The sequence below is a fragment of the Homo sapiens genome, chromosome 4 (genome assembly GCF_000001405.40).
Source record: "Homo sapiens chromosome 4, GRCh38.p14 Primary Assembly".
Lineage (NCBI taxonomy): Eukaryota > Metazoa > Chordata > Mammalia > Primates > Hominidae > Homo > Homo sapiens.
Window position 1 is genome coordinate 141,207,354 of NC_000004.12, and position 13,036 is coordinate 141,220,389.

General features: G+C 39.5%; 1 protein-coding gene across 4 annotated transcripts in view; it reads right to left on the reverse strand.

Annotated features, from left to right (window-relative positions):
* Positions 1 to 5,547, reverse strand: part of RNF150 (ring finger protein 150) — a 353,094-nt gene extending 347,547 nt beyond the window's left edge. For all 4 annotated transcript variants that reach the window (XM_047415998.1, XM_011532148.4, XM_017008475.2 and 1 more), the window contains exon 1: positions 5,441 to 5,547. The gene's annotated coding sequence lies outside the window, so the exon portion shown is untranslated. The remainder of the gene's footprint in view (positions 1 to 5,440) is intronic.
* Positions 5,548 to 13,036: the final 7,489 nt, after the last annotated feature.

A 13,036-nucleotide genomic window follows, 5' to 3' on the forward strand; every position in this document is an offset into this window, starting at 1 on the left:
GCAGCAGAAGGAAAAAAATCAGAGGGATGAGAAATGTGGGAAACACTTGACCCCATGAGTCTGTTCCTGGAGGGGGTCAAATGGAAAGCAGGAGAAGAAATGTGGAAAGCAGGAGAAGAAATGTGGACAGCCTCTGAGAGCAAAGATGAGCCCCTGGATGACAGTCAGCACAGAAACGAGAGCCTCAGCCCTCAACCACAAGGTACTGAATTGAACAATCCACCTATATGAACTTCGGAGAGGATTCTTCTCCACGACATCCAATCAGGAACGCAGCCCTCCTGACATCATAATTTGGGTTTTGTGGAATCCAAAGAAGAGAAAGCCTACCCAGACTTCCAACCTACGGAAGCTGTGAGATAAAACATTTTGGGTTGTTTTAAGCCATTAAGTTTGTTTTGGCAGCATAGAAAAGTAACATATAGAGATATGGATTCTAATCAGAAGTTCTATTTTTACCACTAAAGGTTAAAACATACTTGGGGTAGCCTTTTCTCAACGTTTTACTTTCTTTTTATCAGGAGGGTTTAGTCAGGACAAAAGAAACCATTGCAGGTATTTCAAGCAGGAAAGATTTAACACAACATACTAGGCACTTTATAAACAGAAAACAAAAAAAAGCGTTGAGGAAACAAAAGTCAGGAAAACTGCCTCACAAAATATGGAAGTTGAAAGAATCACAGGGAATCACCACTGATGATCTCAGTTATCTGTGGCATCACAATAAGTGATCATCAGCAGAATGTCCGGAAGCCACTGGTAAAATTTCATGTCTGCAGTATTCCTGCCTTGCCCTGCGGGAAGAAGAATAATGGCTTCTTCCTCGGTTCTGCTTTCCAAATCTCATGTGACTGCCTCTCACTGGTGGAAGCTAACTCAGATCCCAGGCTTCCAGCCCCTGTACTACAGAGAAGAGCACAGAAGGAGAAATATGGCCCCGAGGGGCTAGCATATTCCTCTATCTCATTGTTCCCATTGCATTGATACCCATAGGCAGAAAATTAAGCAAGGAAAAAAAAAGGCAAGAAAAGAAAAGGAACACCAGCCACCAAAGCACTTAGCGATTTCAGATTCAGACATTTACAAAGTGAAATTGCAAAAGAGTTTCAATTCTTCTTTGCAAGCTCCATTCTACCTGGATGAGTGCCATCACCCTGTCAGGATATTTTTTCTGTGTTTATACAGAATCATGGAATGCTAGCAGCTATACCTTAATTCTTTCCTTTTCAATTTTGCTCTTTTTACAAAGGAATGGAAAGTCTATTGAGGTTACTGAATACTCCAAGTCAAGATAGCTAGTTAGTAACTAAACAGGGTTAAGGTCTTTTGAAGTCTTTCTCATTTCCCAACTCACTGTCAAGGTCTACAGAGTCTGAGATTTGATACTACTTGCAGACTAACAAGTTTGCCTGCCACTGTTTTGTGGATACTGGCAGAAGACACAGGACTCTTGGGTCAGAGACAAAAGACTTCAGCACTCATGGGATTGAAGTTAGCCTGCTACTGTTTTGTGGATACTGGCAGAAGACACAAGACTCTTGGGTCAGAGACAAAGGATTTCAGTATTCATGGGACAACAGTGGCCAGAGCAGATACTATACATCCTGTAGGTTTGCATCACAGTCAAGGAAGAGTAAGTTTGAATAATTAACTGGTTTTTTTCAGCAAATGGAAGCAAGCTTGTTCTTTGTCTGGTGAGACACCTTACCTCAATCCTCAAGGTTGCTCACTGCAAATATAAATCTCAGCAATGGCCCAACTAAAGGGCCTTGCATTCTTGGCATAACAGCAAGAATATGCAGCTGAAGGACAAAGGCAAATTGCGTTTCCCGACACCCACCAAGAAAGGGAGGACTGGAGTTATAATTAAAAGTTATAATTAAAAGTATTTCATATTTACTACATGCAAAATAGTATGTTTAATATACTATTGTACATGCTATATGTACATGCTATTCTATTTCTGAAATTTGTCTACAAGTCTGCATGTTGTTATAGTTCACTTTTCACTACTATATAGCATTGCATTAGGTGAATATGTAACAGTTTATTAATCCAGTCTTCTGCCGAACAGTTGAGCTGATTTGCAGTCTTTTTCCATTATGCTACTATAAATATTTTTGCATATATTTCCTGCTACCTATGTTTAGAAGTTTCCCTAGAGTATGTGATTAGGTGTGAAATTACTTGATTATTGAGGCTAAAAATAACTATGTATTTATTCACAATTTGTGTTTTCTTGTCTGTGAATTCCCCATTCATATCCTTTGCCCATTTTTTGATTGGGTTGCTTGTCTTTTTAAATTTATTAAGAGTTCATAATTTCATCATGGATTCATAGTTAAAACCAAATCTCTTAGTAATAGAAAGTAACACTTTTAATTCCCCATCCACCCAAAATGGGGGGGTATCTATAAAAAAAAACTCTGATTTCTTGAGGCCAGGAGTTTGAGAATAGCCTGGGCAATATAGCAAGACCCCATCCCTAAAAGACAAAAAAGAACCCTATAATTTCTAATATTATTTTAATGGCAATATAATAAAAGCATTTTCTTTAAAGGGACTAAACAAGGATGCTCTGTGTCATGGTTTCTATTAACTATTGTATTGGAAGTCTTACCCACATCAATAAGGCAAGAAATTCAAATAAGATATAAAGAGATAGAAAGTAGAACGAAAATGGTCATTAGTCACAGATAATTGTCTAATTATAAAAGCCAAAATTATTTGTGGAAAAATTATTAGAAATGGTAAGATGAATCACATTTGTAGGTTTTTTGTTTTGTTTTTCTATGAGACCACTTCTATGTGTATTTGATGATCTTTTATTGTGATCTCTCATGCTTGGCTGGTTTTAATCTGTGGACACTCTGGAGGCCTAAGTTGACAATTCTTTCCACCAGTGAGTATTTATATTTGCTTCTCACTGGAGTCAGGGAACACCACAGATCCGGGACCACTTTAGTTACCTTCGGGGTTTCAGGTTAGAACCTGAACCACTGATTAAGCTCCTTGAAGTGGTTGCTGGCAAGAGGCTTAGTTTTCTTTTTGCAATGCTGACGTTGATTTTGCCCTCAGACAACACACTCCTTACATGTTAGCTTACATTTAATGTGCTGGTTGCAGTTTCAGCTTTTTTTTTTTTTTCCAGGGAGAGGGTAGTGGTGATAAGAGATTTTTCTTACTTCCTATTAGCTAAGCAACATGTTAAAAAGTATGTTTTATACAGAATCTAATTGCTTTGTATTGGAAGGGATTTTTTAAAAACATTGTTTTTCATTTGGCCCCATTGTTTTTTTTAAAGTCACCCTTACAGTTTGAAATTTCTTGTCTTGTGGACTACCAAAAATCAAGGTGTGGCCAGCACTTCTGGTTTCCTACTTAATATCAATTTTTCCATTTCTTCCTAATAACAGAACTCCAATTTTATTCTGGCTTGAAGTGTCCAGCTAAAAAAAACCTCCATTTGCCAGTCTTTCTGGCAGCTAGGCATGCTCATGTAACTCAATTCTGGTCAATTATCTGAGGCCATAGTCCTTTGCCTGAAGTTTCAGGAAAACTTCTTGACAGAGGTTGACTTTGTTTTTGTGTGTCCTTTTGTCCTTTCTTCCCTTCCTCAATTTTCTTGCCTAAAAGGTTAGTTAACTGTGATTATGATTGAGAGCATGGTAAAAGAATCCCAAAGACTTCAGTACTAAAGTTCTTGCATCACTGTCCTTGTCTTGGACTTCTTGTATATGAAAGAAAAACCACCTTGTTGAATCCATCATTAATTAGGTTTTCAGTTACATATATTTGGATGCATTTTCTGACTGATATATTTGGTATCTGATTTTGATGTAATGTTTACTTAGTGTCTAAATAACTTTAAGTAGGTTTTCAAAAAAAATCACAGTAGCAAATCACATTTATTTTATATGTTTGATAATTTAAAGTGTTTGGCTTTATTGTGGTTAATTACAGAAGCAGATGGTATTAGATACACCTACGCTTGCTATTTCAAGAAAACCTCATTGAAGCTATAATTTGATCTCATTCTAAGGAAAATGAAAGTATAATTTAAGTCAATAATTATTATCTGATAGTAGATATTTTTCATGATGAACACATCTTACATTCCCAGTTAGAAAATGATCTGATTCAATTTATAATAATGCCCTATTATTTCTTCCAAGTACAACCATTAATGTACTTTAATTCGTATTATGTTGAGTCTGCTTTAAAAGCACTAAGGGTTATTTATACATTGTTTTTCCACTTGTTGCTAAGAAGGAAAGTAATAGAATTGACTATCCCTTAACTATTTCATTTATTTTAACTTACTTTGTTTTTTTTTTGGAGATCTGGTAACTATTGTCATCCAGATGGCCATACTGGATAAAACTCACATTCCATATTCAAAATTAACAGTAAATGACTTTTCAGGTTTGGAAGATAGGGCAGTTTGACTTTGCTATATAATCTTTACTGTCAATATTTTAATCAACTGAAAAAACCTCATTCCATCTCAAGTTCTATCCTCAGGCAGAGTTGTAATAATCATTCCTAAAGTGAAGGAAAGAATTTAATAGAAGAATAGAATTTAACTAAAAGAAATAAATAGAAGAGGAAACTAGAAAAAAGTGGATGCTTTCTCCACTTTGAGTTGAGGCTTCACGGGATAACCTTGAACTACTCAATCTGATTTAAATGTCTCACTTCAGTGCTTCCAGAGTTCCAGGTGCTACCAAGACAATATCTCACTGAATAATCTGGAGGACCCACTGGAGACCACTGGATGACTATAGGCTCAAGGAGCAGGCAGGCAGGATTAAAAGGTAAATAGTAGGCTAAACCATGAGCAGGGGGCTGTGGATCTCCAACAGCCGGGTAGCAACAAAAGGAACTTAGCACTTAATGTTTCCCATGTGCCAGGCACTGTGCTAGGTGTTTTATATGTATCATCATACTTAATCCTCTCAGTAAACCTAGGAAGAAGGGACTTAGTAACTGCATACCGAAGACATCAAACTTTATGGATATTCTTGAGCCTCTTCAGCTTCCTCTTATCTGTTGTTCTTATTCCACTGCAGAATACAGCAGTGAAGACCTTCAAATCAAACAAACTAAACATATGCTTGAAGGTGGGCTTGTGGGTAGGAATTCGCTTGTGGTGTTTTTTATCTTTGATTTTTCCCACCCTACTTAGATACAAAGACAACACAGAAAACCATTCCTACTAGCTTCTTCTGTGTGGCAAGATTTTTTTCTAACTTTGTTTCTACACTGAGGCTGTTGTTCACTGTTGGTCCCAGCTTTATGCAAGAGTCTCCAACACAGCCTCCTACTCTTCTTGGCCACAGGGCCTCTGTCTCCAGCTGTTCTAGTCTGTTCTAACACTGCTATATAGAACTACCTGAGACTAGGTAATTTATAAAGAAAAGAGGTTTAATTGACTCACAGTTCCATAGGCTGTACAGGAGGTCTCAGGAAACAGGCAATTATGGCTAAGGGATGGAAGGAAAGCAAGCACAATCTTCACATGGCCGAGCGGGAGAGAGAGAGAGTGAAGGAGGAAGTGCTACACACTTTTTTTTTTTTTGAGACAGAGTCTCACTCTGTCGCTCAGGCTGGAGTGTGGTGGGATGATCTTGGCTCACTGCAACCGCCACCTCCCGGGTTCAAGGGATTCTCCTGTGTCAGCCTCCCAAGTAGCTGGGATTACAGGCATGCACCACCATGCCCAGCTAATTTTTTGTATTTTTAGTACAGAAGGGATTTCACCATGATGGCCAAGCTGGTTATGAATTTCTGACCTCAAGTGATCCGCCCACCTTGGCCTCCCAAAGTGCTAGGATTACAGGTGTGAGCCACCGTGCCTGGCCAGCTACACACTTTTAAACAATCAGATCTCATGAAAACTCACTCACTATCATGAGACCAGCAAGGGGAAAATCCGACCCCATAATCCAATCACCTCCCTTCTGGAACATTGGGAATTACAATTCAACATGAGATTTGGGTGAGGACACAGAGCCAAGCTATATTGAGAGGTGAAAACATGCTGGCAGCCCTTGCTCTCTCTCAACGCCTCCTTGGCCTCGTTGAGGAGCCCTTCAGCCGGCCGCTGCCCTATGGGAGCCCCTCTCTGGGCTGGCTGAGGCCAGAGCCTGCTCCCTCTGCTTGCAGGGAGGTGTGGAGGGAGAGGCGTGGGCGGGAACTGGGGCTGCGCCTGGCGATCACGGGCCAGTGCAAGTTCTGGGTGGGCGCTGGCTCGGCAGGCCCACCGGCCCACCTGGCAGGCAGTGCACTCGGAGCTGCAGGCTGGCGCCACCGCCCCGGGCAGTGAGGGGCTTAGCACCCTGGCCAGCAGCTGCGGAGGAGGCGCTGGGTCCCCCAACACTGCCGGACGGCCTGTGAAGAGCTCAAATTCTCACCAGGCATCAGCCACCTCCCCCGGGGCAGTGCTCGGGACCTGCAGCCTGCCATGCCTGAGCCCCCTGCGGTGGGCTCCCACGCAGCCCTAGCCTCCCCGACAGGCGCCACCCCATGCTCCGCCGTCTCCAGTCCCATCCACCGCCCAAGGGCTGAAGAGTGCAGGCACCCAGCTCAAGACTGATGGGCAGCTCCACCCGCGGCCCCAGCGTGGGATCCACTAGGGAAGCCAGCTGGGCTCCTGAGTCTGGTGGGGACTTGGAGAACTTTTATGTCTAGCTGGAGGATTGTAGAGGCACCAATCAGCACTCTGTGTCTAGCTCAAGGTTTGTAAATGCACCAATCAGTGCTCTGTGTCTAGCTAATCTAGTGGGGACATGGAGAACTTTTGTGTCTAGCTAAAGGATTGTAAATGCACCAATCAGCACTCTGTATCTAGCTAATCTAGTAGGGATTTGGAGAACCTTTATGTCTAGCTAAAGGATTGTAAATACACCAATCAGCACTCTGTGTCTAGCTCAAGGTTTGTAAACACACCAATCAGCACCCTGTGTCTCGCTCAAGGTTTGTAAACGCATCAATCAGTGCTCTGTGTCTAGTTAATCTGGTGAGGACTTGGAGAGCTTTTATGTCTAGCTAGAGGATTGCAAATGCACCAATCAGCACCCTGTCAAAACGGACCAATCAGCTTTCTGTAAAACGGACCAATCAGCTCTCTGTAAAATGGGCCCATCAGCAGGATGTGGGTGGGGTTAGATAAGGGAATAAAAGCAGGCTGCCTGAGCCAGCAGTGGCAACCTGCTGGGGTCCCTTGCACGCTGTGGGAAGTTTGTTCTTTCGCTCTTTGCAATAAATCTTGCTGCTGCACACTTTTTGGGTCCGCGCCGCTTTTATGAGCTGTAGCTGTAACACTCACTATGAAGGTGCAAGACCACGAACCCACCGGGAGGAATGAACAACTCCAGACGCGCTGCCTTAAGAGCTGTAAAACTCACAGCAAAGGTCTGCAGCTTCACTCCTGAAGCCAGCGAGACCACAAACCCACCAGAAGGAAGAAACTCCGAACATGTCCGAACATCAGAAGGAACAAACTCTGGACACACCGTCTTTAAGAACTGTAACACTCACTGCGAGTGTCCGCAGCTTCATAGTTGAAGTCAGCAGCGAGTCCAAGAACCCACCAATTCCGGACACAATATTATCAGTGTACAAATTTCTCAGTAGAATCCAAGTTCTAGTTCACTGGGGATTTTCAGATGGTCCCAGCCAAATGCCAGCTCCAGAGCTTGCTTACTGTGTGGATTCCTACTTACTGAGTCCTTCTGGTCTCCTTGAACTTTTACCATTTTCCTGCCACTTTGGTCATGCACTGGAAAATGTCTTTGATCTCTTTGCTTTTGTTTTGTTTTATCCAGTGTTATGTGTGCTCTATTGTTACAGAATTTCTCCAGACATCTTACCAGAAATAGAGATCTGGACTTTGTTGAGGAAATGTACTTGACAGATAATTTGGAGGTCATGTTACAAACACTTAGGGATTAGACTGATAGGTTAGAAAGATGAAAGTGTCTGGATTGACTCCAAGATTTCTGGCTTCAACAGATGAATTAGTGCCCTTTGTTCATTGAGTTAAGACAGCAAGAAAGAGGCATCAGTTTTGGGGGAATGATGATGTATTCAGTTTTGAAAACCCATTTTGTCAACAGATGAAACTAATTTTCAGCTTTCTATTTGTAAACTGAAGAAATAACTATTTTACAATAGAGTTTTTATTGATATTAAATGTAGTAATGAATGTGAAAACCTTAGTAATCTATAAAGGGCTATGCAGGTATTGGAAACTTAGAAATCCTTCTCCTTTCCCCAAAGCTAATTGGTAAAAAGAGGTACTCAGAGTCTTCCTTATGATATATAGGTCCAGTGGATAATAGGGTGTGATAACTAGGATAAAAAGGAGAAATAAGTTGCTAGACAGTTATGAGCAATATAAGGTTTTCCCAAAATATACAAACCATTTGTTAAAAGATCATTTATCAGTCTAAACGTGATGCTTTAAAGGTACTGAGATGAAATCTATTATGCAGTTATTTTACGAACCACAATTATTATTTGTGGAGTGCTCAAAAGATGGACAACATAGGTGTCTGGATTTAGGAAGTGCTTTTATGAGCTAGAAGTTTTTTAAAATTTTATTGTGGCAAGAATGCTTAACAGAAGGGCTGCCCTCTAAACAGATTTTTAAGCGCACAGCACAGTATTGTCATTTCTAGGAACAATGCTGTAGGTCTGTAGAACTTATTTATCTTGCGTAACTGAATTTTTTTGCCGATTAGCCCCTCTCCATTTCCCCTTTACTCGCAGACGCTGGCAACCACCATTCCACTCTCTGCTCCTATGAGTTTGACTATTTTAGATACCCACATATAAGTGGAAGCTTGTAGTATTTGTCCTGTGTCTGGCTTATTTCCCTCAGCATAATGTTCTTAAGTGTTCTTCAGGTTGTTGTGTATGTCAGGAATTATTTATTTAATAAAAAGAAGAAATTCCTCCTTTTTAGAGGCTGAAGAATATTGCATTATATATACATATACATATGTGTATACACACACACAAACACACACACACAGCAGATAGCATTAGAAAAGGAATTATTTGCAGAAATAAACAAACTTTAATTCCTGAAAGAAAGCCAAACTGAGATACACTTAAATGGGCAAGTTAAAGAGTCCTATATTCCAGAGCTCTCCAAAATGTCCTGGAACATTTGTGTGCTGCCAGTAGGGCACAAGTGTGGCTGGACCTGAGTCAGGGCCCAGAAATGAAAAAAATCCTCTTGCTTCTAAGAATAATATGTGAGAAGTGCCTGTCAAGTAAAGAATACTTTTCAGAAAGATAAATGAACAAAGATTTTACCTTTCCACAAAAAGAAAAAAAATGAAAAGGGGAAGAAAATTACAGAGTCACCTTTCATAATAAACAGACCTGTCCTGTTTTTCCCTGTGTGACCTGTATTATTTTCTATTTATGTCACAGCAAGTAAGTGTTTGGGAAGAACTGCTATAGATGGCTTATTTTAAGACTTTCATCCATACTTTCCTGCCTCTATTTTAAGATTTCTTTTAAAACCTTGTAGCAAAATGAAACATGCATAAATTACATAAATTATAATACAGATTGATGAAAGGTCACAGATTGAACACAGTCATCATAAGTAGGATGTTTTCATTACCTTTACTCTAGAAACTCTGCTTGTGAGCCTTTGAAGTCACTACCTTCACCCAAAGGTAACCTCTATCCTGACTTCTAATCAGATTAATTTTGACTATATTTAAACTTTATTTAATTAAATCATGGTGTTCTTTTTTTCTTTGTGAGATTTGTTTGCTTAACATTATGTTAGTGACATTCATCCATATTGTTATGTGAGACTGTAGTTTGTACACTCTTGTTAGTGTATAATATTAATATTTTATTATATGAATATGTCACCATTCATTCATTCTCCTGTTAAGGGATAATTGGGTTGTTTATAGTTTTGGAGATGTTGCAAATAGTGCTACCATAAATACTATTTTACGTATATATTTTTTATTTTATTTTATTTGAGATGGAGTTTTGCTCATGTTGCCCAGGCTGGAGTGCAATGGCAGGATCTCGGCTCACTGCAACCTCAGCCTCCCAGGTTCAAGCAATTCTCCTGTCTCAGCCTCTCAAGTAGCTGGGATTACAGGCACCTGCCACCACACCTGACTAATTTTTGTATTTTCAGTAGAGACGGGTTTCACCATATTGGCCAGGCTAGTCTCGAACTCCTGACCTCAGGTGATCCACCTGCCTCCACCTCCCAAAGTGCTGGGATTACAGGCGTGAGCCACCATGCCTGGCCTATTTTACATATATTGTAGTAAATACAGGTATGCATTTTGGAGATATATATATATATCCTTTAACACATGAAGCTAAATAATGTTCAAAGTGGTAGTCCATTTACAACCCCCAAAACTGGATGAGAGTTCCAGTAACTCCACGTCTTTACCAATAAATACTTGGTCGCTGGTATTGCCAGTCTTTTAATCTTAGCCATTCTGGTGGCTGTTGAGGATTATTAATATATATGTTTTAAAATTAGTATTGTTCTGAAAACTAAAAGTATGGCTAACACTCCACATCATACATCTTTTCTTCCCTCTCCAGAGGTAACCATAATCTGAAGTTAGTAACATTTCCAGGCATCTTTTGGTACTTTTACAAGGTATGTGTGTGTGTGTGTGTGTGTGTGTGTGTGTGTGTGTGTGTGTGTGTGTATTCGTAAATGATAATGTATACAACTGATTTTTGCTTTACAGTTTTACATATGCGGCATTCCAATTTGATTTTTCACCAAATATCTCCCCCAAATTTAGGAATTAGTCCATATTGATGCTTATAAAGTCTATGAATTTTAATTGCTATATAGATAGCATGCAATTTGTTCCTTTTCCTAATAAAAGATAGGTTGCTTAAAAATTTTTGCTGTTGAACTGTGCTATGGTATCATTGTATATTTGTACGCAAATTTCTTATGGTAGAAACCTAGAAGGACAATGGTTGAATCTTTAGTTTTGCACATATTTACGTTTACTTAACATTGCCATGTGGTTCTCCAAAACAGGTTTAACATTTATACTCCCAGTAGAATTGCTTAAAATTTGTTTATCCGCCTTTCACCAATACTTTGATCTGCCAGGCTTTTACATTTTGGACAATCTTATGGGTGTCATTTATTCTGTATATAAATCTTTTGTCAGTTACATGGGTGTCAAAATTCATTCCCCTCATTTTCATTTGCCTTTTTACTTTATGTCTTTAATCATCCTGAAGTTTTTAAATTTTATTGAATTCATTGTTCATTAAATTTTTTGTTTTTTTGTGTGTGTCTTAATAAATCATTCTACTTTAATATCATAAAGGCATTCTCCTATGTTTTCTTAAAATAGTTTTATTTTTGCTTTGTATATTTAGGTCCTTCCACCTAGGACTTATTAAATATGTGCTGTTAATAGGGATCTAATTTTATCTTCCTCCATATGGATCGCCAATAGTCTTTGCCTCATTTATTGAATAATACCTGTCTTCTTACTGATGCTAATGCAACCCATACCATTTGCCAAATATCCAAATGTATGTGAGTCTGTATCTAGGCTTTCTATTCAGTTGCATTTGTCTATTTGCTGACACCTGAAACTATGCAATATTGTTTTAATTACTAGAGCTTTATAATAAATAAAAGTATCCTTCTGCTTGTATAACTAAAATGGTCTGGGCTTTTCAATCTTTAATTGTTCCTATGAATTTGAGAGAGCAATTAACCAAATTCCATTAAAAAAATCTATATGAGGATTTGATTTGAATTGCATTGAATTTATAGAATATTTCAGTTCCTTATAATTTTCATATCCCAAATTGCTTATTATAATTTTGTCGTTTTATATAATGTTTTAGATTTACCCTATATATTAAATAAATTGATTATTATTACTTTTTGTATTCCCTCCTGCCTTTTAAATTCCATTTTCATCTTGTGAAGACTGCCCTTTGAAATTCTTTCACTGAGTATCTGTGAATAGTAAAGGTTCTTTGTCTTTGTCAGAATATTTATTTTGCCATCACTCTTGGTAGTGAATACTGGCAGGCACTACCCAGATCCCTCTTCCTCAATGAAAGACTTATTTCCTGAGCTGCTGAGAGTGCAGCAAGCCAACACAATCCAGCTCTTGGCCATCTTCAGGAGTCCTTTAACCCAAGGTTGCACTCTTCTCCTTTGGCAGCGTTCATCCAGTGACTAAATGTCATAGGTGTATAAAGGTCCAGCCCAGTTCCCCTAACTCAAGACAACTCTGAAGGGATATCCCAGATTCAAAACGAGGCCTTCACTGAGACGTCACTGCAGGTCAACTCTTCCCTCTGCTCAATCCTGCTTCCATTTCTCCTGCAGATGTTGTTCCCCAAAGCATTCCCTAACATACTCATTATACTCTTCTCTGACTCAGAGTATGCTTCCTGGGGAAGCCAACCTAAAACAGTTGGTGTCAGGAGTGGTTCAAGTTAGGCTAAGATGGGATTTATGATTCGAATCACAGGCCATGTGACTATCAATGAGGACCCCCTCGGTGGTAGGTGTAGGACACACAGACCTCGGCACAAGGTAACAGTGCAATAGTTACAACTTTCATCAGTAATGAAACTGGGGTGGTATTCTAACGTAACTGGGGTGGTATTCTAATTTATATACGAGTAGGTAAAATGTATCAGGCATTTGAGAACTATGAGGGAAATAGTAACCTTAATGACAGTGGCATTGACTGTTATTGCTAAGTAAAATTGATTCTTTGAAAATAGCAAAAGGCTGAGATGGTTAATTGGCTATCAAAATCTAAGAGTAAATTCCAGAAGGCCTCTTTGGTCCAAATAAAGAGGCTTTTATCTCCTGCAGGGGGAGGGCAGGAAAAGCACAGGAATAGGCCTGGTACTGAATCCTAAGTGCGGCAGAGCTCCGAAAGAGATTAGGAAACCCAGCTTGGTCGGCTATGCAAAGGTGGAGGTGCTTGATCGGAAGGAGATTCTGATGCAGGGGGAGGATCAT